Source organism: Homo sapiens, chromosome 1 (genome assembly GCF_000001405.40).
Source record: "Homo sapiens chromosome 1, GRCh38.p14 Primary Assembly".
Taxonomy (NCBI): domain Eukaryota; kingdom Metazoa; phylum Chordata; class Mammalia; order Primates; family Hominidae; genus Homo; species Homo sapiens.
Genome location: NC_000001.11, coordinates 193,131,468 through 193,156,794, shown reverse-complemented (window position 1 = coordinate 193,156,794; position 25,327 = coordinate 193,131,468). Strand labels below are relative to the sequence as shown.

The 25,327-nt window shown below is 36.0% G+C and overlaps 1 protein-coding gene and 1 non-coding gene across 3 annotated transcripts in view; both read right to left on the bottom strand.

The window, feature by feature from the left end:
- Window positions 1-25,327, bottom strand: part of CDC73 (cell division cycle 73) — a 132,785-nt gene that overhangs the window by 98,021 nt on the left and 9,437 nt on the right. For both annotated transcript variants that reach the window (NM_024529.5, XM_006711537.5), the window contains exons 4-10: window positions 21,342-21,404; window positions 21,206-21,258; window positions 18,622-18,710; window positions 14,729-14,945; window positions 8,830-8,928; window positions 6,413-6,491; window positions 4,351-4,415 (exon numbers count right to left, since the gene is read on the bottom strand). In NM_024529.5, the coding sequence (NP_078805.3) occupies window positions 4,351-4,415; window positions 6,413-6,491; window positions 8,830-8,928; window positions 14,729-14,945; window positions 18,622-18,710; window positions 21,206-21,258; window positions 21,342-21,404 (665 nt within the window). The remainder of the gene's footprint in view (window positions 1-4,350; window positions 4,416-6,412; window positions 6,492-8,829; window positions 8,929-14,728; window positions 14,946-18,621; window positions 18,711-21,205; window positions 21,259-21,341; window positions 21,405-25,327) is intronic.
- On the bottom strand, window positions 20,212-20,292 carry MIR1278 (microRNA 1278). Its single transcript, NR_031691.1, has one exon. It is a non-coding gene; the product is annotated as a microRNA 1278 (primary transcript).

The following is a 25,327-nucleotide window of genomic DNA, read 5'->3' as shown; positions in this document are numbered from 1 at the left end:
AAACAGCTTTTAAGAGAGTCTCCATTATCTGCAGAGCTGAACTCTACACTCAACTCCAGAACATTACTGCTACTATAGCACTCCCGTAACACTTCAAGCAGAGATGAACAACAAATTAATCAATAACCAAATGGGAATGAAGGAAGCTTTATAAAACAGTGGTGGGGTGGGGAGAGTGCTATGTATGTGTTCCTGCTTTTAAGAATCTAACCTGGTTGACAGACTGAGATTCTGGATCCTCCTGAGAATTGATGGTGATATTATCACACCTCTAACAAATTATATAAAGCTACCTAAGTTTACTTACTGTCAAAAAAAATCGTTCCCCAAAACACACTTAGTGTAAGAACTATGATGACTGTTGGAATAAATTCAAGCAAAGATCTTAAAGGAAAGCTTTTAATCTCTATAATTGCAGGGTGTGAGATGCTTCCGCAAAAATGAAGACAGTAAAGGTAATCAAGAGTCAATGATACTCACTAAGAACAAATAGAGGTTAGAGTCTGTAACCCTTCCAGTTAAATATGAACAGGCTAGACAGGTTAAAATGAAGTTGTTCTCAAGGCAACTACCAAATCCTCACTAATAAGAGTGAACTGTGATCACCATCTGATTATTTCTCCAGTGGAACCATAAATTGGTTCCTTGCAAACTAACAAAAACAGACCTTCATTATATCCTCTTATTTACTATACAATAAACTTTATCAAGTGACATTCTTTGTCTAATATGACCCTATCACAAAATGAAACCATGAAAATATATTGTTATTTCCCCCACTGAATGGTTTCTACTTCTAACACATAATTCTGAGATAGCTTTACTTAACCTGATTCTATGAAACACTAGTCCTTTCAAAGAATATTCCCTAGGTGTTAGGGTAGGGGCAAACTCAGGGGGTTAAATAAGCTTGAGAAAGACTGAATATTCTTCCAATTTAGATACTCATACATTAAAAACAATGAGATTCCTGAACCACAAAATCTGTTTAATCTAGTGGGGTTTTTTGTTTGTTTTTGAGACAGAGTCTCACTCTGTCACCCAGACTGGAGTGCAGTGGCATAATCCTGGCTCACTGCAGCCTCCTCCTCCTGGGTTCAAACAATTCTCCTGCCTCAGCCTCGGGAGTAGCTGGGATTACATGCACACGTCATCACATCCTGGCTAATTTTTGTATTTTTAGTAGATGGGGTTTTGCCATGTTAACCGAGCTGGTCTTGAACTCCTGGCTTCAAGTGATCTGCCCACCTTGGCCTCTCAAAGTGCTGGGATTACAGGCATGAGCCACTGCGCCTGGCCTAACCTAGTGTTTCTTAAACATTATAGAACCCAAGCAACAAATTTGGGGGAAAAGCTCCAAACTTGGAAAAGTTATCTATCAAATCAACAATTTCATGGCTTGGGCCTCTGGAATCTTTACTGTGAAACGTATTTCATGGCCTAAGTCAAAAGTTAACCAGAAACCCAACTATACAAACTTGTAACTTTAAAGATACCTGGGTTTCTGTTGCTATAAGTTTGAATAATTCTTACTTTCATAAAATATTATCAAAGCACTCTCCCTGGGGCCTTTACTTCTATAAAAACTTTCACTAACCCATGATTCTTATGAAATGTGATTATCAAAACATATCCTTCTCTACAACATATATATATAGGAAATTATCTGTATAAAAATATTCTAGCCGTCTGCATAATTTAGTCTTGCATATAACAGAAATCTGATGTTTAACTTAAAAGATACATAGACTGATCCTAATTTTATTAACTATGTACATCAACCAGGCATATCAAAACCTTGGAGAACAATGGCTGCAAAAATGAACTATACATAAATTAGGAAGGAAGTTACATCTGGGCAGCAAAGCCTTTTAACATACATTTAACATCACTGTATGTCTGGGTGGATATTATAAAGGAGAAACTTTCTTGACTGGAGAATAAGGTAGAAAGTTGGTGCAACTCACAAGCTCACAAATAGGTAGTAATTCCAAAGCAGAAAAGAAGAGAAAAAAATATTAAATTGAAAACGTAAGTCTGAGACACAACTAAAAAATAATTATCTGAGAACTTCAAAGCTTTCAAGTTCAAATTTCTCTATGTATTAATTCTAACAACTGCATAAATCAGATCACAAGCAACACAGAGATTCAAACTGGGTATTAATATAACTATCAGCAATTTAACCATTTTTAGTCTTTCTGTTGCATTCCTACACAATGCCTTTTTCATGACTATTCTTTAAAAATCACACAGCATAAATTTGCTTAAGTTCACCTCTCTTTTCAGTATACTTCAGTATATTGCTTAAATTCACCTCTTTCAGTATATTTAGAACAGTCTCTGATGATGCCGCAGAATCACATCATTCTCATACTGATCAATAAAGAAGCTATCCTTAAATTTTAGAAAAACTGCTCTGTACAAAGCATCACTGTAAAACCCATCACAGATTTTACTACTTGCAAAGAAGCTCAGATAATAAAACCATTTCATGGCATTTCAGAGGTACAGGGATGGATGAGAAAAGTAAAAACAACAATCACAAAAATAACAAAAAACTTACTTTGATGGCTCCCCAAGGGTAACAACTTCATTCTACGACTAATTCACTCAGGGAATGATCAGCGGGCAAGTTCTGTCGCACTTAGGGAAATGATTAGTAGGCAAGTTCTGTTCCCAAGATGTCAATAACCAAATCACATAAGAATTTAAACTAAATCTTCAGCCATGAATTATATATTGAAGTCAGGAAGAACCAGGCAGATCGCATAAGATGGGAGTATCTAATCCCTGATGACTTTTCCCTTAGTTCTCCAAACTCTAGCAACACTGGCCTCCTTGCTGTTGCTCTACTGGACCTCAGTCTTGATCCCTGCCTTGACGTAGAGGAATGCTATCCAAGTCTCTCTGCTCAACTGTTACCTCCTGAGAGAAGTATCTCTGACTTCTCTCTCTAAACAAGGCTCATCTGTCTTATTCACAGCTGTATGACCAGCAACAAGAACAGGATCTGACACAAATGCTCAATAAGTACTTGTTGAATGAATTCATTAATCTACACATAATTTAATAATACAAAAACAAATCTGATGACAATTTAAAAACAAGTATATTAACAAAATATCTGATATCCAATCCCAATTTGAAGTCCAGAAAAAAACAAACTTAAAATCAGATCTCTATACTTGCTATTTGCTTTTGGAAATGAGTGAGTAAAACACGTAAAAGCCCACGTAGATATAAAGTTATATGTTAATTCTGAGAAACCACAGCACATATATAATGATTCCATGTTATATAGAGTCCGTAAAGATCTGATGATTCACAAGCAAAGACAAAAGTTTGGTATTAGTGTCTTAAGTATACTCTATTTAATACACATGCATAGTATTTTAAAAGTATAATAATCTAGAATATAAATAAAAGTATAAAAGGTAGAATGGTCTAGAATATAAATATGCAAAATGAGGTTAACAGAATTCCTGTTCTACATCACCAAGTCCGATCATTAAATAAAAATTTAAAATGTTAAATATGGCTTGGTCAGAATATATAGAAATAACCATTTTTAGGTTAAAAAAAGAAAGTTTGCTAAACATGAACCAAAGGCTTATATTCACAGATACCCAAGTATTTAGTTCTGTTAATTACATACTTTGTAAGCATTATAATCACTATAATCCATCTCTTTAAAGAGCGAAAGACATTACATTGTTAAAAACAAGGCTGGGCACGGTGGCTCACACTTGTAATCCCAGCACTTCAGGAGGCTGAGGCGGGCGATCACGAGGTCAGGAGATCCAGACCACAGCGAAACCCCGTCTCTACTAAAAATACAAGAAAATTAGCTGGGCATGGTGGTGGGCACCTGTAGTCCCAGCTACTCGCAGAGGCTGAGGCAGGAGAATGGCGTGAACCCGGGAGGCGGAGGTTGCAGTGAGCCGAGATCGCACCACTGCACTCCAGCCTGGGCGACAGAGCGAGACTCTGTCTCAAAAAAATAAATAAATAAATAAAAATAAAAACAAAAGATATTATGCGAAAAAGCTCTCCCAAACTGACCTCATAACTTAAAGGCTTTAAATACTGACCAGGTGGCATTGCCCTACTTGCAAGTTAATCAAATCAGCTTTTATTTACATATATTCAACTTAATTTGAAGGAAAAGAAAAATGAAACAGGATACCCATGAATCAAATAATACACCACACAGATCAATCAGCACAAGTGATCAATAAAGAAAAATGTTTGAAATAAAAAATATGAGAGACTAAAGATTTACTTCAACATGTGCTACTCACATAAAATCCCTGGAACAAAAGAACATCTACAGCCAAATTAACTTACCGTTACAGATTTCAGTGTCATACCATGGTAGGTTCCCATAGTGTCAATTTTGAAGCCTTCCGTTTCTACGAAAAAAAAGAGGCTTATTGTTAAGATTTTATAGATCATGTATCTTATGACCTATAACAAATCTAAAGTAATAATCTACATTGAATGTGATGGTTCAATAATATACAAAGCCTTGAATCTACTATGTAAAATTAAATTACGTACTTGTGAAGATAAAAACTTTAAAAAGGACTCTAGGTTAAAAAATATTAATATATTAAATACAGACCAGCAAGCCTATTGTATAGAAGCTGGTTAAGACTATCTCTGCAATTATGTTCAAAAATTAAGATTGAATACTTTATAACCCCAAATTACTTACTACTAATACTCAATGATAGTACCACTAAAAGCATCTAATACCATGAAAAGACCCAAAGTTATAAAAAGTAGTGTTCCAAAGTTTCAGTCATAAGGCATATACTTATTTTTATATACATACATACATATATATTTTTTCTTTTGAGACAGGGTCTCACTCTGTCACCTAGGCTGGAGTACAGTGGCACTGCAGTTCACTGCAACCTCTTCTCCCATCCCCCCTCCACAGGTTCAAGCAATCCTCCCACCTCAGCCTCCCGAGTAGCTAGGACCACTGGCATGCACCACCACACCCAGGTATTTTTTTGTATTTTTAGTAGAGATGCGGTTTTGCCATGTTGCTCAGGCTGGTCACAAAGTACTGAACTCAAGCAATCCTCCTGCCTCCACCTCCAAAAGTGCTGGGATTACAGGTGTGAGCTACAGCAATCAACCATATTACATATTTTATAGAAAGCAATGTTGTAAATAATGATTGGAGTGCCAGGACAGAATCCCAATATGCCTTTCTGTAAAGGCAAATATTTTAACACATTGCAAGCCTTAAAATCTGTCACAACTGCCCAATTCTGTATTTTAGTGCAAAAGCAGAATAAACAATATATGTGATCAATTGGGGGCAACCCAATTTGGCCCATGGAGGGTGATATTTAGTTTGGGGGCTGTAATTTATCAACCTCTGCTTTATATAATTCATTCCTCAAGAAAAACATTGAATATTATAATGAAAGAATGGACGTAGTCTTTCTATGGCACATATCCAGTGCATGCCTTTAACAACTGAATGAAGTCAGCACACAAAATTCATTGCATCAAGGCAACATATCATTTAAAAAAAACTTAAATGAAGATTTCAGATTATGCTTAAAAATATCATTAACTTCCAGTTGCTTCTACCTAATATTTTCATGAATCAAGTCATGATGAATGAAGATCCCAAGAGGAAGTTACACTGACATTAGTCTCACCTCACAACTGCAGAAATGGTGTTATTGCATTAGCCAGAATACCACGTAGACTATCACAAAGTAAGTCCTCCCATCATTGCTCAAAATTTGTTTCCAAGTTCTCAATGTACATACACATTTATAACTTGGGAAAAATGACTTAACATATAGAATCTCTACTTTAAATTATATAAAAACAAAAGCAGTATGAATAACAGCAAACATTTATAGATAATTTACTTACATATCAGATACTATTCTGGGAATTCAATATTTATTAACCAGTCCAATACTCACAATAATGGTAAGAGACAGGCACTATAATAACATTTTAATTATACACAGGAGAAAACTAAGGCAGAATGCAGTTAAAGTAACATTAAAATTCACACAAAAAGTTACTACGACATAAGCTATCTGGATCCAGAATCCATGCTATTAACCAGGGGTTGGCCAACTTTTTTTCTGTAAAGGGCCAGATAATATTTTTAGGCTTTGTAGGCTACACAGTCTCTACTGAAACAATTCAATACTGATGTCACAAAGCCAAAGCAGCCATATATAAAATACATAAATGAATGAGTGTGGTTGTGTCCCAACAAAATGTTATTTAAGAAAAATTGCAGTGGGTAAGATCTGGTCTGTAGACATTACTTTGCCAACCCTTACCCTTAAACATCAGGCCACACTGCCTCTCAAGTTCAACACAACCACACTAAGGGGAAGATAAGAATTAAGCAACTTGCCTTCTTTTCCTTTGAATCTTTCCTGATCGTATCTGTTATAGGCAGCTGGGATAGGCTGTTTGGTGCGCAAAGTGGGATCCTGTAAAAAAATTAATTATGAGTTACTTGTTAATATTTTTAAATGTCACTTATTTAATGTGCTGGAGTGCAGTAGCATGACCATGGCTCACTGCAGCCAAGACCTCCTGGGCCCAAGTGATCCTCCCACCTCAGCCTTCCAAGTAGCTGGGACCACAGGCATGCACCACCACACTCAGCTAATTTTTTTTTTTTTATAAAGACAAAGTTTCACCATGCTGCTCAAGCTGGTTTTGAATCCCAGCCTCAGGTGATCGACCTCAGTCTCGCAAAGTGCTAAGATTACAGGCATGAGCCACCATACCTGGCTAAAGTACCTTTACGACATAATACTCTTCCCTGCAATTATGATTGTTTTAACAAAACAAAAAAACCCAAATTATTAATCCTTAAATAAACATGAAAGCCATGATGATTAATCCATTATAAACAGAGTAAGACTGAAGACGTATTTTTTTTAAATAATTAGAAAAGGCTGTCAGTCTAATGATGCATTATTTAATCACAAATACTTTATCAAAACTCACAATGTTTAACAAACTAAAAACACATATTTAGGAATATTCCCAAAGCTACTTGGAAAATTCATGAAGACTGAAATACTTTTCATTTTATTATGATAGGATTCTATATCAAATATTATGCCAAATAAAATATACTTATCAATACCTATCAAGAATGATAAGTATATGCTTACTTCACACTAGGCATATACTTCTATAGTCAAATGCCAAACATTAAAACCTTCAAGTATTCTAACGATTATATAAATATACAGAAAGAATAATCAGTCACAAATGGTAAAACTGTTTTAAGGTTTGACATGTTTCCTATCAACAGCTATTCAAAATGTCAACAAATTCATAATTCTAAGTACCTTGTGCTTTGCCATCATAGCTCTTACTCCACTACTTTAAAAAAAAAAAAACATCTAATAAGTAGGGAACTGCTGAGAGATCTAGGTTACATGGTCGTTTGAGAATCTAACTAAACCCTGAGGATCTGAGGTGGAACAGTTTCATTCCAAAAACCTCCCCCTGGTCCATGAAAAAACTGTCTTCTACGAAACTGGTCCCTGGTGCCAAAAAGGTTGGGGACTGCTGTATTAGACTATAAGCTCAAAGAAAGTAGGGACTATAATCTTTCTCACTATTGTATCTCAAGATCATTAGCAGACTTCCTAATAGAAGGCACTTAAGTACTTGATGGAGAGTCAACTAAAAGTATTTATCTAATTATCAACAAAAGCCTACCATCTTTAAAAGTTAAATTCCAACAATTTCATGAGCAAATAAAACTACTACAAAGTAGTTGCAAAGGCTGTATTAGTACTCTAATACATTTCAATGTGCCTTTTAAAACTTGAAACAGAGTTTTAAAAATATAGAAGGTTTTCTGGAAGGCCGAGGTGGGCAGATCACCTGAGGTCAGAAGTTCAAGACCGGCCTGGTCTTGAACAGGACGAAACCCCATCTCTACTAAAAATACAAAAATTAGCTGGGTGGGGTGGCATGCGCCTGTAATCCTGGCTACTTGGGAGGCTGAGGCAGAAGAATCGCTTGAACCCAGGAGGCGGAGGTTGCAGTGAGCCAAGATCGTGCCACTGACTCCAGCCTGGGCAACAGAGTGAGACTGTCTCAAAAAAAAAAAAAAAAAAAAAAAAAATTATAAATTTTCTATTTATAGAATCTTCTATTTTCTATTGCAGAAAATAGAAACAATTTCATTTGTATGTTTTATTCCTTTGTTGAATCATATGAAAATAGCTGGAAGGATTTTCAACAAAATTAGAGGATGTTTGAATTTAAATATAGGCTATATGTCATACGTGAAATTTACTTTGGGAGGGTCTTAAGTGGCACTTCAAAGAGAAGGCAGTCAACTCTCAGAGCAGCTGAAATGGAGGTACAATTAAAGGACAGCATGGCTGGTGATCAAGAGAAATACATTCACCAAGATGTAATAGATACAATGCCAAAAAGAACCCCAAACTGGGAGTTAACAGGGATTTATGTTATTAACAATGGTTAGCAATTGTCCCAAGCAACAATGAGTAGGCCAGCCACAGTTTACCTAAAATAAATAGAGGGCTTTCCCTAATTAACCTTTTTCAGACTCTGACCCAGGTATATTAAGAATTACTGCTCCAGTTAAGAATTACTGCTGAAGTAAGTAACTTTTAATGTTGGGGAGGGCTTTCACATCTTTCAGATATGCTAAAGGAGCAAAAGGTTTAGAATCCACTGATTTTAAAATGTGAAGATGTCTTCAACGTTACTACACTGCAATATAAGTGGCAACTTCATTAAATCTACTGTAAAGCAGTAAAGCATTCTTACCACAGGTGCTGCATTTGGGGCAGGTCGCTGTTCAGGTGCACGCCCTTCTTCTCTGGCTTTTACAGATTGAAGAATTGCAAAAATGTTCTTGGAAAAATTCTAAAATATAAATGGATTTTAATTAAGCCCACTTTAAATATACAATAGTAAATTTAGTTGATAATTTAAGACTAAGTTATCTTACTATCGATTCTTCCCTACTACATATGTCATAAGGTATCATTATTATACACATATGTAAAAACCAACCACTACTAAGATATTGATCCAGAGACTGATTATTGTAAATCCCATGGTATTCATTTCATCATTTTCATTTTACTTAAACTGCTACATTCGGGAGGCCAAGGCAGGCAGATCACGAGGTCAGGAGATGGAGACCACCCTGGCTAACACAGGTGAAACCCCGTCTCTACTAAAAATACAAAAAATTGGCTGGGCGTGGTGGCAGGTGCCTGTAGTCCCAGCTACTCGGGAGGCTGAGGCAGGAATATGGTGTGAACACGGGAGGCGGAGTTTGCAGTGAGCCAAGATCATGCCACTGCACTCCAGCCTGGGCAATAGAACGAGACTCCATCTCAAAAAAAAAAAAGAAAAAAAAAACTGCTACAAATGTATTCATATTCTGCATCTGTTCAAATATATAACCAGAAAGCAAGTTAAAATCTAAATAAGGCCGGGCACGGTGGCTCGTGACTGTAATCCCAGCACTTTGGGAGGCAGAGGCAGGTGGATCATGAGGTCAGGAGATTGAGGCCATTCTGGCTAATACGGTGAAATCCCGTCTCTACCAAAACTACAAAAAATTAGCTGGGCGTGGTGGTGGACACCTATAGTGTCAGCTACTTGGGAGGCTGAGGCAGGAGAATGGCGTGAATCCAGCAGGTGGAGCTTGCAGTGAGCCGTGATAGCGCCACTGCACTCCACCCTGGGAGACAGAGCAAGAATCCGTCTAAAAAAAAAAATCTAAATAAAATATAAATACATTTGTCAAAAGAGGCTTCTAGTTCAGAAAAAAAAATAATCAACTACTACATCCTCCTGTTAAACTCCAGTGCTAATTTCAGATTGCTACATATGAGTTTTGAGATACTATCAGAAGTCAATGTACACTTTTCAAAGATGTGTAAGTTGGAAAGTACAAGTACAAATGCTCTTCAACTCACAATGCAATTACATGCTGATCAAAAGTCAACACAGCTAACTAATCTGACGACTCTTTCCTTCATGAAATATTCTTCCTTCATGCTATGGATTGAATGTCTCCTCTAAAACCCATGTTGAAATTTTATTCCATTCTAATAGTATTAGGAGGTGGAGCCTTTAGGAGGTGATTAGGTAGGTCATAGGGCTCCACCCTTACGAATGGATTAATGTTGTTATTGCAAAAGTGGGCTCGGATTCCCGAAAGAGTAAGTTTGGCCCCATTTCTCTCTGTGTCTCATTTGCTTGCTTGCTTGCTTGCTTGCTTGCTTGCTTGCTTGCTTGCTTCTGCCTTCTGCCATGAAATGACCCTCACCAGATGCCACTGCTATGCTCTTGGATTTCCCAGCCTACAGAAATATGAGAAATAAATTTCTTGTCTTCATAAATTACCCAGTCTGTGATATCCACAGCAGCACAAAACAGACAAAGATACTTGGCCTCTGAGATGCTACTCTCTCTTGGTTTTACCCCTAATGTCTGACAGTTCCTTTGGGGCTCTTCTTATGCTGCCTATCAATCACTTAACATTTGAAGGAATATGTAGTAAGAATCTACTCTAAGCCAAACACCTTGCTTGGCACTTGGGTACAATGATGATCAAAAAAGACATGGTCGCTGCCCTCATGAACCTCAAATACAACATAATTTCTCTTCTTTAAACAAGGCATTCTGTTTCCTTGGCTGGGACCACTCTTCCCACCTTACCCCTCTCACCTCCCTCACTAGTTTTTGTTCTTTAGGTATCACTCCTCTTTACTCTCAACTAAGTTAACTGCCCTTGCTGGGTGTCTGCCCTATAATGTACGTAATAATTACCGCTTATTTAATATTGACTTCTGCTGAAGAGTATAACTTCTGTGAGAGCTAGGACCAATGCACCTCTGGTCAGTGTTTAGCACTTGCCTAGTTTGTAGATGTTAAATAAATACTATACAAATAAATATGTATATAAAATGAGAGGCTGCTTGAAACATAACTATTATCACTATACCAGTTGCAGTGCTAACTAGTTCCTATAATTCTCTGGAGCAGCAAATATAAGTCTCAGGACCCCTTTGCACTCTTACAAATTACTGAGCACCCCAAAGAGCTTTAAGTTTGTGTGAACTACAGTATCTATTGAATTAAAGATTAAAATTGAAAAAAATTTAAATTCTTTTAAAAATAAGAAAACAAGATTCCATGTAAACATAATAGCATATTTCATGAAAAATCACTTTTCAAAATGCATAAAAGTAATGACAAGAAAGAGTGGCAGGTTTTAAATTTTTGCAAATTTCCTTAATCTCTGGCTTAATAGAAGACAGCTGTATTCTCAGATCAGCTTCTACATTCGACATTTATTGTGCTTTCTTATTTGGTCATAAATGTGCTATCTTATTTGGTCAAAGAATACCGAGAGAATCTATCCTCACACAAACAGCTGGAAAAGGTTTTTCAGGTAACTGTGGATAGTCTTCTTTGATATCATACCAAAATGCAATAAATGGTTCTTAAAGGTTAATGCAACATGGAAACCACATCCATAAACTTTTTGCATAGGTACTTTAAAATCCATCAGTCTCCTTGCACTTTAAATGAACTTTCTACCCATGCATGATTTGTGACAGCATTCACTGGTCATCTGGAAAATATCAATCACTGAATTATGCACATTTTCCAAATATTAACATGGTTAATTATACAGTATCAACAAATTATACTTGTTAATATTATTTGTAAAAGACTCACTAGAAGACTTTAAGAATTAGAAAATTGCTTGTTTCTTTACTTATGGGTGGAAAAAGAATTAGAAAAGTGTTATGGTGACAGCAGCATAAAGAAACTTCCCAAAATTCTAATTTTCTCACGAAAGCTGTCATTTTATCATTGGCAACAAATACTATCAGTTGCTTTCCTTCAAGGAACAAATTTATTTCCTTCATTTAAAAAAAAAAAAAAAAAGTCTGCCAAATAACCAAGTCTGAATAACAGTTACTTAAATAAAAAAATGTTGATTCAGTTCATACTTCACACAACGGCACAAGTCTCTTGATGAGAATAACCATCATGTTTGCAGAAGTGCTTCTACATTCCAATTTCGTCACACAAAATAATAAAAAGACACACTTGAGGGTCAAGATTTAACAAAATTCATAAATTTTAAAAACGTCATCAAGGACATTCGTGAGTAAAGAACACAATGGCTAAGTGCCATTGCCTTGATTCACACCATGACCAGCAGTTTTACCAACCATTGATTGTGTACCATCACTGCAAAGGTCAATACAATGAAAAATGCACATAAAATCTTAGTCTTATTATAAAAAATAGTTGAAAATATATGAAAAGCAAATCTCACTACTTTAAAAATAAAGAAGAATTAATCAATATTATCATCAATCTACTATGCAGCAGAATTACAGGTGATTAACATCTTCCTTCTAGTGATCTCCTTTTTATTAGTTTTTCAATGATGAACATATACTAATTTATATAAGTTTATACATGTTTCTCTTCAGATCGTATAAACCTTTCACCTAATTTATGTAAGTTTAAAGGTGTGTTTTCTAAACGGCATTATAAAATCAAGTTGCTTTATTTGGGGTCCTTGCAAAAATAATAACATATTTATACCTCTCATGAAATTTTTTTTTTTTTTTTTTTTGGTGAGACAGAGTCTCACTCTGTCACCCAGGCTAGAGTGCAATGGCACAATCTTAGCTCACAACAACCTCCACCTCACAGGTTCAAGCAATTCTCCTCACTCAGCCTCCCAGGTAGCTGTGATTACAAGCGCATGCCACCATGCCCCACTAATTTTTGTATTTTTAGTAGAGACAGGGTTTCACCATGTTGGCCAGGCTGGAATCTAACTCCTGACCTCAACTGGTCCACCCACCTCGACTTCCCAAAGTGCTGGGATTACTGGCATGAGCCGCTGCACCCAGCCTCTCATGAATCTTGAACCTGACTTTTGTTCCTGAAACTCAAAAAATAAGAAAGCCCTGATAACTAGTAATAATGAAGGTCTATCTAAAACCCACAGGGCTTTAAGTACCTAAGGGTATTTTTTTATTCTCACCTGCCTAAGAGTATTTTTAGAGTTTACCAGATAAAAACAATACACAGAAAGACTATCAAAGTATTTTTTATTTTTTAATACTAATAATACTCAGGCAAGCCTAGCTACAAAACAATTCTTTTATTAACTTATTTTTTTAAAAGATATAGTGGTACCAACAATATTAAATCAGTAAGTTTAGAAATGATGGTACAATCCTGCCACCTAGAGCTCAAAGAAAACTGTTCACTTCAGTTACTTGAAAAAGTAATGTTTGGTCTAAAAGTTAGGTAGGGTATATCACCTGTTTTTATTCTTCTACTATGAGTTTGAGATTTTTTTATTTTAATGAACACTGGTGGATCAACGTAAGTCACAATATTTCTCAAGTATTAGCCATGCTAGACAGTGAAAATCAGTATCAACAAATCATTTTGTTGTAAATAGCAAAAATGGAAGTTTACTCACATCCTCAGATTTCTCTATAATTCTAAGCTCTGGAGAATGATTCTTAATCTCAACCTTAGGTACTTTGTAAAACAAAGTCAAAGTACAAAAGAAAAAGAAATGATTCTTTTCTTCATATACTCTTTTCATAGCTTTATTTCTACTAAAATAGCAATGTAAATTTAAGACTAAAATCCCAAAATTCTACAATCAAAACCAATTTGCCTAAAACAATGTTAAATTTCAGTTTCACAAGTAACTTTGCACACTTCAACATTCTTACTAGATCATCATTATTAACAACTGTGCATCAGTGGAGAAAACATTTAAGAGAAAATTGAGGCACTAAAGAGGAAAAGACAAATGAAAGTACATAAATCAGGATAAATGCATCCTCTTTTTGGAGATCCATGAAAATACTGGACATTCAGTATTTCAGATTTTTATCTTTCAAAATATAAAGTGCATATCTCCTTTAACCAGCAATTTGTTTCCAAGAATTAATCCTTTGGCTATATACACACAAACACACAAAGGTACGTGTACAACAATGTTTTCTAATGCATTATTCATAATAGGGAAAAGGAAGTGAGGGAAGGAGGAAGAGAGGGAAACGGGAGGAGAAAGAGAGAAAGGAGGAGGGGGGCAGAGAGAAGAAAGGAAGGACAGAGAAAGGGAGAAAAACTGCACAATCTTTGGAGCAAAAACAAAAGAAAACAATTTCCATTAATAGGGAGCTAATGAAAAAACTGCTATACCCACACAACAGAATATAGTGTGTAAAATATACTCAATAAATGTTTGCTACAGATTTCCATAAGTTCTCTACCATGTGAGAAAAAAAAATAATGATGGCATTAATAACCAGAGAACTTGCCATCAATATTATTCCATTTATTAGGTTTAAGCAAAAATGACTCAACAGGAAAACTGGGCCATTCTTTGATTTGCAAATGATCTGTGAAGGAGCTTGCATTTTGATTCCTACTTTTTCATCAGCATCTCTGATGTCTAACAACCATATTCAAGAATGGAATGGTAAAAATGGCCATCTGGAAATCTACATTATTACTGAGCTTTCAAAGAGATAAAACTTGAAACTTCCACCTAAAAGCAAAGTTTAACCAATTCTATAACCACAGATTAAACGCACTCTCTCTCTCTCTCTCTCACTCCAATGAATGAGTAAAATATTTTAATTACCTTTCCTGTGCTTTGTAAGATAGTTGTTCGTGTCCTCCATACTCTCTCTCTGCTGACAATATCTCGGGTCACATCTACCTCAGCATCCACAAAACTCCTCTGTTTAAGGGCAGTTATGTCATCATCTAGATCAGTCTTGATAGTAGATCTTTTCTTAGCCATAATTTTGGCTTTGATTGCAGCAATTTTTTCCACTGACATAGCTTCAGACAAAGACCTAAAAGCAATTTCTTTTTTAAATTTTCACAGCAGGCATTCCTGGAGTGTATCATAAATATATTTTGTTACATTTATAAATTTCTGGTAAAAACACTTACATGGCAATAATTAAGGTTTTCTTATCTGTAAGACTGACTTGCTATTCTGCAATTATATAAAATTTTTATAAAGAATTCATGTCGAGATATTACTCTAAGAGCAAATTAGTAATTTCTTAGAAGTATCAATACAACAAAATTCTTCATGGTTTTTCATCTCTTCCCCACAAAAAAGCAGGACTCATTAATATAGGTGCTTTTCTTTATATTTTCTGTATCTATGGAAATTAAACACACACACAGATGCCACTTTGGAAGGAGGTAAAAAATCCATCCTACAGAAAGTTCAAAGCCTAGGTTTTCCTTGAAATTTATTTCAAGGTTTCAAACTTGTATGCCATAGTGCAGAACATAATTTAAGTGACAGGCTTTTATATGCCACAAAAACATACTCCTTTAATCTCTGGAAGATAAAGCCATATTTTATACAGTTTTCTTTTTCTTCCCTTTTCTTGATTTTCAAATAGGCAAAATAGTTGAAAGAGACTATGTTTGCAGAAATATAAAAAAAGACAACACTGAAAGTATACGTCATAAAATGATAATCTTAAGCAAAGTGTCTTTTATCATGTAAAATGAGAAAAAGAATTAAAAAGTGTTTGGGTACCTTAATAACAGTAGACAAAAATATTACTTTAGTCACAAGATGAAAATCTTGAAATATGTTTACACAAAATCTAGAAAAAGGACAAAAATTCCTGCAGGTTTAAATACAGTAGTATTATACAGTATTCTAATTTTATTCAGATTAGGTATGAAGGTACTTTATAGTAGTGCTCATATGCATCTGGCATTTGATGCATTTTGTGTAATACTGTGCAAATTTCCCTTAAAATCTAAAGCACACCAGCATACCTTAAGCCAAATTCAAATACAGTACTCCTGTTTGGCTTTCCACAGTTTCAGTTACCTGCTATCAACCACAGTCCAAAATATTAAATGGAAAATTCCAGAAATAAATAATTCGTAAGTTTTAAATTATGTGCCGTGCTGAGTAGCCTGCTGAAATCTTGTACTGTCCTGCCTGGGACACCTGCCTGGGATATCCGGACACGAATGATCCCTTTGTCCAATGTATCCATACTGTATACACTGCCTGTTAGTCGCTTAATAGCCATCTCGGTTATCAGATCGACTATGGCAGCATTAAAGTACTTATGTTCAAGTAGCCCTTATTTTACCTAACAATGGCCCCAAAACACAAGAGTAGTGATGCCAGCAATTCGCATATGCCACTGCCAAAGTGCTTCCCTTAAACGACAAGGTGACCTTGGCACTCCTTGGCTAGAGTTCAGGACTATCCGAGGTTTCAGGCATCCACTGGAGGTCTTGGAACATATCCCCAGAGGGTGGATGGGGGACTACCGTACTTCTCCAAACTATAATCAAGCCTCCAATGGACTTTGAAACATAGAATTTTTACTTACAGCCAAGATGAAGTACCAGAGACTAGACTAACCCTCCAGCCTTTAAATAACCAGTCAAAATACATAAAACAATGGTTTACTAGATGCTAGATATCAAGCAATGAAGGACAGTAATTCCCTAACAAATGAGAAACAAACAAGGTAAGCCCTATGACTGCCTCAGCTTATTGCCTGTAAGTTTCCAAGACATGGCCTTGGGAGGAGAACCCATGTAGAGCTGAGCGGATTCTCTGATAAGAAGAAATGGAGCTGAGACTACAGCAAGACCAAGGTGTTTAGAATTCATAGGTCAGAAGACCTGAGAACTGCACAGAAGATCCCCCTCACGTACCCCAGCAGAATTCTGACTAGCACAAATATGAAGAAACTATGTAAGGTTGAATAAAGAACCACCCAAGTGAATTAGACAGAATAATGCCTAGTGTTCACACAAAGTGAAGAATAGTGCCTGTTCCACTAGCCAGAATGAAACCTCACGTTCATGAAGTATTAGGTACTCAGAATGGTCTTCCCTCAGTGGGTGGGGAATAATTACCCTAGCTGACCAATGTTCAGATAAATTAAAATCAAGACCCAAAAGTAACAAACTGTTTCCAAGGGATTTAACTGTGTCCCAAAAAAAAGCTAAAGATGATGTGGGGAGATATAACAATATCTAGCCCTCAACAAGGTAAAAAGTATATATGATGTTTGGTGTGCAAAGATCACATGATATGTAATAAAGCAGGAAAATGTAATAAAGCAGACATGTAATAAAGCAGAACGAGGAGAAATATCAATCAATCTCAAGGCATGAAAATAATTACAAGAACTACGTTCTATATTTCAACAAGCTAAATGAAAAGATGAAGTAGGTATGTTTTTTAAAAAAGAGCAAAACATGCAAAAATTAGCTGGGCGTGGTGGCATGCACCTGTAATCCCAGCTACTCGGGAGGCTGAGGCAGGAGAATCACTTGAACCCGGGAGGCAGAGGTTGCAGTGAGCCGAGATCACGCCACTGCACTCCAGCCTGGGTCACAAGAGCGAAACTCCGTCTCAAAAAAAAAAAGAGCAAAACAAACTTCAGATGAAAACTACAATGCTGGAGACTAAACATGCATGGAATTACATAAAAAAAATTAAGTAAAGTTGAAAACACAACAGAAACTATCCAAAAAGGACTCAAGAAAGAATTTAACAGATATAAAGTTAATTCAAAAAAAGAGAAGAATGTAAGTGAACTGTCAAAGAAAAAAATACTAAAGTTCAGCCAGGCGCGGTGGCTCACGCCTGTAATCCCAGCACTTTGGGAGGCCAAGGCGGACAGATCACGAGTTCAGGAGTTTGAGACCAGCCTGGCCAACATGGTGAAAACATCATCTCTACTAAAAGTATAAAAATTAGCCCGGCGTGGTGGCAGGCGCCTGTAATCCCAGCTACTCGGGAAGCTGAGGCAGGAGAATCGCTTGAAACCAGAAGACAGAGGTTGCAGTGAGCCAAGATCGCACCACTGCACTCTAGCCTGGGTGAAAAAGTGAAACTCCGTCTCCAAAAAAAAAAAAAAAAATTAAAGTTCAGTACAACAGAAACTATCCAAAAATAATTCAAAAAAGAATATAAACAGACAGATAGAAAAGAATCCAAAAAAAAGAAAAGAATGTAAGTGAGCTGTCAAACAACTTCAAGTAGAGTTTGAGTAGCTGGAATCCAGAAAAATGAAAACATTTTTAAAAAGTGAAGAAACTATGCCCATCCATTCATGTATTGTCTATGGCTGCTTTCCCCACACCACAAAAGTTCAGTAGTTTCAAGAGACCATATTACCTTCAAAGCTAAAAATATTTAACATGTGGCACTTTCCAGAAAAAGCTTGCTGACTTCTGGTGTAAGTAATCAATAAGAGGTAACATAAAATGAATTTCTCAGCTTATAACGCAATTTTTAAAAAGAAAGACCAACATGGTAATAGAAACAAGAAGACTTTTCAAAAAGCATGATAAACACAATGACTTCCAATCCCCACACATGTTCTTACGAACTTAAGAGCAAAGAGGCATAAAATGAATCCAAGAGGTAAATGTAAATGTGGAGAGCATTTTAATATTCCTTTTCCTTATACTTTTACATATATCTAAACTACCTACTTTCTACTTAAAAAGAATTCTTACCTAATCTGTTCAGTCTGTACAATCCCTTCTTTGTGACCCTCCAAACGGGCAGCCAATCTCTCTTTATCAAGGCGCACACACTCTTCATCCTGGAAATAACCACTGGTTAATGCATTTAAAATTTTTATTGAACTTTTAGGAAGAAAAAACGCTACATGTAACTTTTCCTTACCAAATTTCCTACCTCTACAATTCTAGGTATCAGTGTCTTTAGGCCAACTTCAAGACTACTTTTGGCTACGTAAAGATAATAACAATAAATATATGTTGAATCTTAAGACTGGAATCATCGAAAAGCTTAGGAAAAACTTGCTTAGCTACTTTTTTCTTTATGATTAAGTGCTCTTCCCATATCATAGCTGACTTTCTTCAGAAAGACACAACAAATAAATTCATCTTTTTGAGAAAGTTAATAACCAAATGTTATGACAAGCCTTCACCAGAGTCAACAATTTCATTTTGGTATCTCCATTTTTTTTTCATCTGTTGCTACAGGTCCTGAATCCATTAGCACTAATCAAAATGCTCTAAGGAAAACCTTAAAGGTTTTCAAAGGATGGTCATTAGAACGTTAGAAGCTTCCAACTAAACGCCTCATGGGCCACTTCAAGATTTTGTCTGAAATTCAACCCTGGTAGCTCAGCTTTTATCTAATTCACATATTATGATGTCAAGTAAAATTTAGTCTGAAAAGCTGTTGGTTAAAAACAAAACAAAATCTGGTAACCCTGATCCAGTTTAATGTCCACATTCAACAAATAACAAAACTGAGGACCAGAGTCAATGACTATGACTAATGAAATACAAAACTGTATAAAAAGCATCAGCATACTCTAGAGATCCAAAAAGATGTTGGGCTCCAATTCATGTCCTATTATTAATCTATCATGTAAAAATCTTAAAATGAATAAATCAGCTGAAATAAATGCAAAAATATTTTGGCAAATGCATCCAACTTTTTCCATTTGCAATAAAGATATAGCCCAGATTTCTCAAATTCCTTACTACTGATTTTAAAGATAACTGCAGCCTAGATTTTTATCAAATCAGAAACTCTACCCTCAGTTTCTCTTTCCTAGCACAGTTCCTTATAGATCCTCAAAAGACATACACTGAACTGAAAACCAATGTTGAAAACCATAGCTGTTTATGTAACACATTTCAACCCCACAAATGATTTGGAAAAAAATGTATTATGCCATTTCCTGCTGATTTTTTAAGTTACTGGAATCCCAGGAAACTAGGACTTCTGCCATGTTGAATTTTTTCAAATAATTAGACTGTGATGTTCAGATTGTTTCAAATAAATGGCATCCCTTGAGCTGGGCGCAGTGGCTCATGGCAGTAATCCCAGCACTTCGGGAGGCCGAGGTGGGCAGAATGCTTGAGGCCAGGAATTTGAGATCAAATAAATGGTATCCCTAAATTCATACACATTGTTTACCACAGGTCACAATCTCCTTTCATATAAGGGGAAATATTCAGTTTTACTGCCACAAAATTTATACCCAGTATAGCAGAATGGCTAGAAACCAGACTGCCAAGGTTCCAACTGGTTCTTCAAACCTCAGGAACTCACTCTGTCTGAGCCTATTCGCTCATAGATGATATGCACAGTACTACCAACTTAATGAGTTCTGGGAGTACTATGCATATCATCTATGAGCAAATACGATTACATGAGTTAATACATATAAAGTACTTAGAATAACACATAGCATAGAGCAATAACAATGAATCAATTATCATCATTATCTCTTAAAAATATCAGATCCATTTCTCAGAATATCCTTAATTAAGATTACATTAAAGTAGTAAGTACTTCATGTTCACAGCTCTGAGCAGTAAAGCAAGCACCCATAACACATTGTTCCAAAGGTAGGCAAACTACATCCCAAAGACCAATTCTGGCCCGCCATCTGTTTTCTGAAGTTTTTTATAGAAACATAGCCACATCTGTTCATTTATGTATTGTCTATGAGTGCTTTCACACTACAATATTAAAGTAAAATAGTTGCAACATAAACTGTATGGCCCATAAGGCCTAAAATATTTACTATCTGGCCTTTCATAAAGAAAGAATTCTGTAGCCTGGCCAACACGGAAAACCCTGTCTCTATTAAAAAAAAAATCAAAAATTAACTGGGCATGGTGGCAGGCACCTGCAGTCCCAACTACTCGGGAGGCTGAGGTGGGGGGATCACTTAAACCCCGGAGGTCGAGGCTACAATAAGCTATGATCATACCACTGGACTCCAGCCTGGGTGACAGAGAAAGATTCTGCCTCAAAAAAAAAAAAAAAAAAGAACAGAAAGGAAAAAGAATTCTGACCCTTGAGCCAATAGGTTCATCCATAAGAATATAAAAGCAAAGAAAATAAAATGATTTGTCCCTCACATAGCTTGCATGTGAGAGAGCTAAAACTATAGCTTGAGCTACTTATTAATCAATTGTTCTTTCTACCACAAAAATTTTTCCAGAAAAAAAGCTCCTCAGGTTACTGCAATCAAAGAATCCTTGTTACTAAAGAATCCCAATTTCAATAACAATATAAATAAAATTGTTTAAAATACAGTTTCTTTACCTCAATTCGTGGTTTCTTTGCTTCTGCTAAAACTTCATCTGCAGCTCGTTTGACTATAAAAGAAAGAGAAGTAAATAAATGTGTAGTTTTGGAATGGGCTTCTGAAAGTTCAATATAAATATGCAACAAGACATACCTTGAGTAGATCGCTGAAGACCTATTTCTAAGGGAGCGCTTCTGTCTATACTTGCCGATGTTGCTGAAGACATAAAAAGATTCACGTAAGGATTACTATTTCAACATATATATTGGATATTATTACAAGTGAAATGCTTTAGGTTTTTTATATACTTCTATATGGTGATTTTCTCTAGGTAAAAAATTCAGTTTTAAAGCAGCTCTGCAAAAACATGTTATTTAAAAGATTAATCTATACTAGAAAGTCTCTAAGAGGACAAACTATTTTTAACAATTTAGCTTACAAATTACTGAGATGATCTGACTGAAATTAGTTGCTTCAAAGTATATGCTCCAATGTCATAACACAGACACCTAAAAAGGTGTAAGTAAACACATAAATATATATATACACACACACATACACACACATATATATGGACAAGATTTTTTTTAAGTTAGCATTCACCCTAAACATGCAATTTTTAGTTATTCACAACTGGTAAAAAACTAAATTATTTTTAAAATTAAATTACTTAATTTTTGAATGGCTCAACAAAAAGGGGTATACCTGTCCCCATTCACCTAGTTCCCACCACCCTATGCAGCCAACTAGTCTCTTATATATCCTTCTAGAGTTTCTTTCTGTAGATATGAGAAATACAAAATTATTTTTACCCTTTTTAATACAAAAGGTGACATACTAAACATACTGTTCTGAACCCTGTTTTCTTTTTTACCTAACAACTTATCTCCCATAACCCTCCATATCAGTAAGTAGAGCATTTCCTTTACTTTTTTTTTGAGACGGAGTCTCGCTCTGTCACCCAGGCTGGAGTGCAGTGGCGATCCTGGCTTACTGCAAGCTCCACCTCCTGGGTTCACGCCATTTTCCTGCCTCAGCCTCCCGAGTAGCTGGGACTACAGGCACATGCCACCACGCCCGGCTAATTTTTTTGTATTTTTAGTAGAGACGGGGTTTCACCATGTTAGCCAGAATGGTCTCGATCTCCTGACCTCGTGATCCGCCCGCCTCGGCCTCCCAAAGTGCTGGGATTACAGGTGTGAGCCACTGTGCCCGGCCCTCTTTAACCATTTTTTTATAGCTACTGAGTACTCTACTGTATGGCCTAACTACAATTTATTTAACTAGGTCCCTGTTGATGAGCTGTTCAATTTTAGTCTTCTGTTGTTACGAACAATGGCACAATAATATATTAATATAAAGTCACAAGTTTTCATAAATATATAAATGTACATATAGATATTATATATAATGGCAAGTTTTTTTAAAGTTAGCATTCACCCTACACATGTAATTTTTAGTTATTCACAACTGGTAAAAAAGCTAAACGAAATATACCTCTAGGATAAAGTTCCAGACACAGGATTTCTATGTTAAATTTGTAATGTTAGACTGCTGCCAATTCTTCAATGGGGGTGTAGGGGTGCACTGATTAACATTATAACCAACAATATAGTAGAATATCTGTTTTCTCATTGCTTCACCAGAGCATATTATCAAACTTACAGATTTTTTTCTATCAGGTTAAAAAAAAAAAAATCCTATCTCCGTATAGTTTAAATTTGCAATTCTCTTATTATAAATGATATTAAGCATTTTTCATGATTTTATCACCTTTTCTGTGAATTTTATGACATAATCCATAGAGTGTTTGGTCTTTTATGCATAAAGTTCCAGGACCCTTCGTATATTAGTGAGATTAGCCCTTTATCTGTGATGAGTTGAAATATTAACATATTTTCCCAGTTTGTCATGTCTTTTGTTTTTTATAATACAGAACTTTACTACTTTTATCAGCTTGTAACTGAATAATCCCACCTTCCTCCCATTGACTTGACATGTCTCTTTAATCATATGTTAAATTCACATATAGATTTCTAACCTAACAGATAAAGTTTTTTTATTAGTGTATCTAGTCATTTAGTTGTTTCAAATTATCAGGGTTTTAAGTTCTCCAGAATGACTAGCCTTTTCTCAATGCTCTTCTACAAATTTTTAGGATGCTTACTTTTGCCAATGAACTTTAGAATCACCTTGTCTAGTTCTATTCCTACCTCAAGAAAAACTAGAGATTCTTATTGAGACCATGTTAAATGTATAAATTAAGAACCAACATCTTTAGCTATTATGTCTTCCTAAGAATACGGTCTTAATATTTGCTCAACCTTTTCATTAAACTATTAAATTAACAGTTTTTAAAAAGTGGCAAAGCAATACGCTTAGTGACTAACTCTGTCCTATAAAAACTGCCAGGCGCGGTGGCTCACACCTGTAATCCCAGCACTTTGGGAGGCCGAGGCAGGCAGATCACAAGGTCAGGAGATAGATACCATCCTGGCTAACACAGTGAAACCCGGTCTCTACTAAAAATACAAAAAGTTAGCCAGGCGTGGTGGCAGGCGCCTGTAGTCCCAGCTACTCAGGAGGCTGAGGCAGAAGAATGGCATGCACCCGGGAGGCGGAGCTTGCAGTGAGCCAAGATCGCGCCACTGCACTCCAGCCTGGGGCGACAGAGCAAGATTCCTTCTCAAAAAAAAAAAAAAAAAAAAAAATCTACAGGAAATGACATAGATGGATAAAGGGCAACTCTACTTTTGATTCTAAAAAGAAAAATCATTTGCTCTAAAGTGCTTCCCCAAAACTAGCCTATTTATCAGGCTCACCTGCGATGCTTAAGAATAGAGAATCTTAGACCTTATATCACATCTTCTGAAGCCAAAAACAAACAAACAAAAAAAACCACTATTTTCAAACCATATGATTCTCATCACTTAAAAAGTTAGAGAAACACTGCTCCAAAGAATCAAATTTGCTTTGATTAAAAAAAAAAAAAATGGCTGGGCACAGTGGCTCATGCCTGCAATCCCAACACTTTGGGAGGCCAAGGGAGGAGGACTGCTTGAGCCCAAGAGTTCAAGACCAGCCTGAACAATGTAGCGAGACCCCATCTCTGAAAGAAAAAAAAAAGTTTCTTCTATCCTCCCCAACTCCATCCTCTTCACAGAATTGAGACTCCCTCTTTAATACTGCTGGGTTCTAAACTTTTGTGTATCCAGTCTCCCTTGCATGACAGTAAACATGTTTACATGTTTAAGACAGGGATTTGGCATTTTGCACAACACCCAGCATAATGCCTTTTAAGAATAAGCACGTAATAAGTCCTTATTGAATGAGGACAGCATAGGAAGAAAGCATTCCTAATGATGATCTTTCCATTATACACAAGATTCTCTGTGGAAATCAATCTTACTGCTTAAAGCCATGCATGACAAGACAGCTGTTAATGACTTAAAGGTACTACACGTCACACTCAGCAAAGTAAGACCCAATAGTTGTATTATATCAATGTACTTGTACTCTGTAAGAGAGTAAATTAATAATTACTCATTTATTCAGTTAAGAACCTACCATGCACCACTATTGTAAATGCTGGGTATTTAACAAGACAAACAACTGTCTGTCCCCTTAGGATTTACCTTCTAATGGGAAAGACAGACACTATGTACATAAACAGATATATAATTTCAGGTCAATGTATGAGATCTGGTGAAAAATAAATCAGGATGGCACTATATAAAAACCACAGAAGGAGGAAAGGAATACTATATTTTCGATAAGAGTGGTCAGAGAAGTCTTCTCTGATGGAACAACATTTGGAAAAACACTTGAGCACAGATCTAAATGAAATAGTAAGCAAGTGAGCCATGTGATAATGTAGAGAAAGACAACTCAAGATAGAAAGAGAAAGTGCAAAGGTGCTAAGATTAGCATAGCTAAAAGACCAAAAAGACTGACTGTTATGAGCAAAGGAAGAATGGTAGAAGATGGAGTCACAGAGATTTAGGCAGAGGCAAGATGACTGCCAGGGTAACAAGTATGAGTTTTATTCTAAGAGTGATGGGAAGCCACAGGTGAGTGACACAATCAAGTTTATATACTTTTTCAAAAGCAGGACACTCTATTGCTAAGACTACACTATA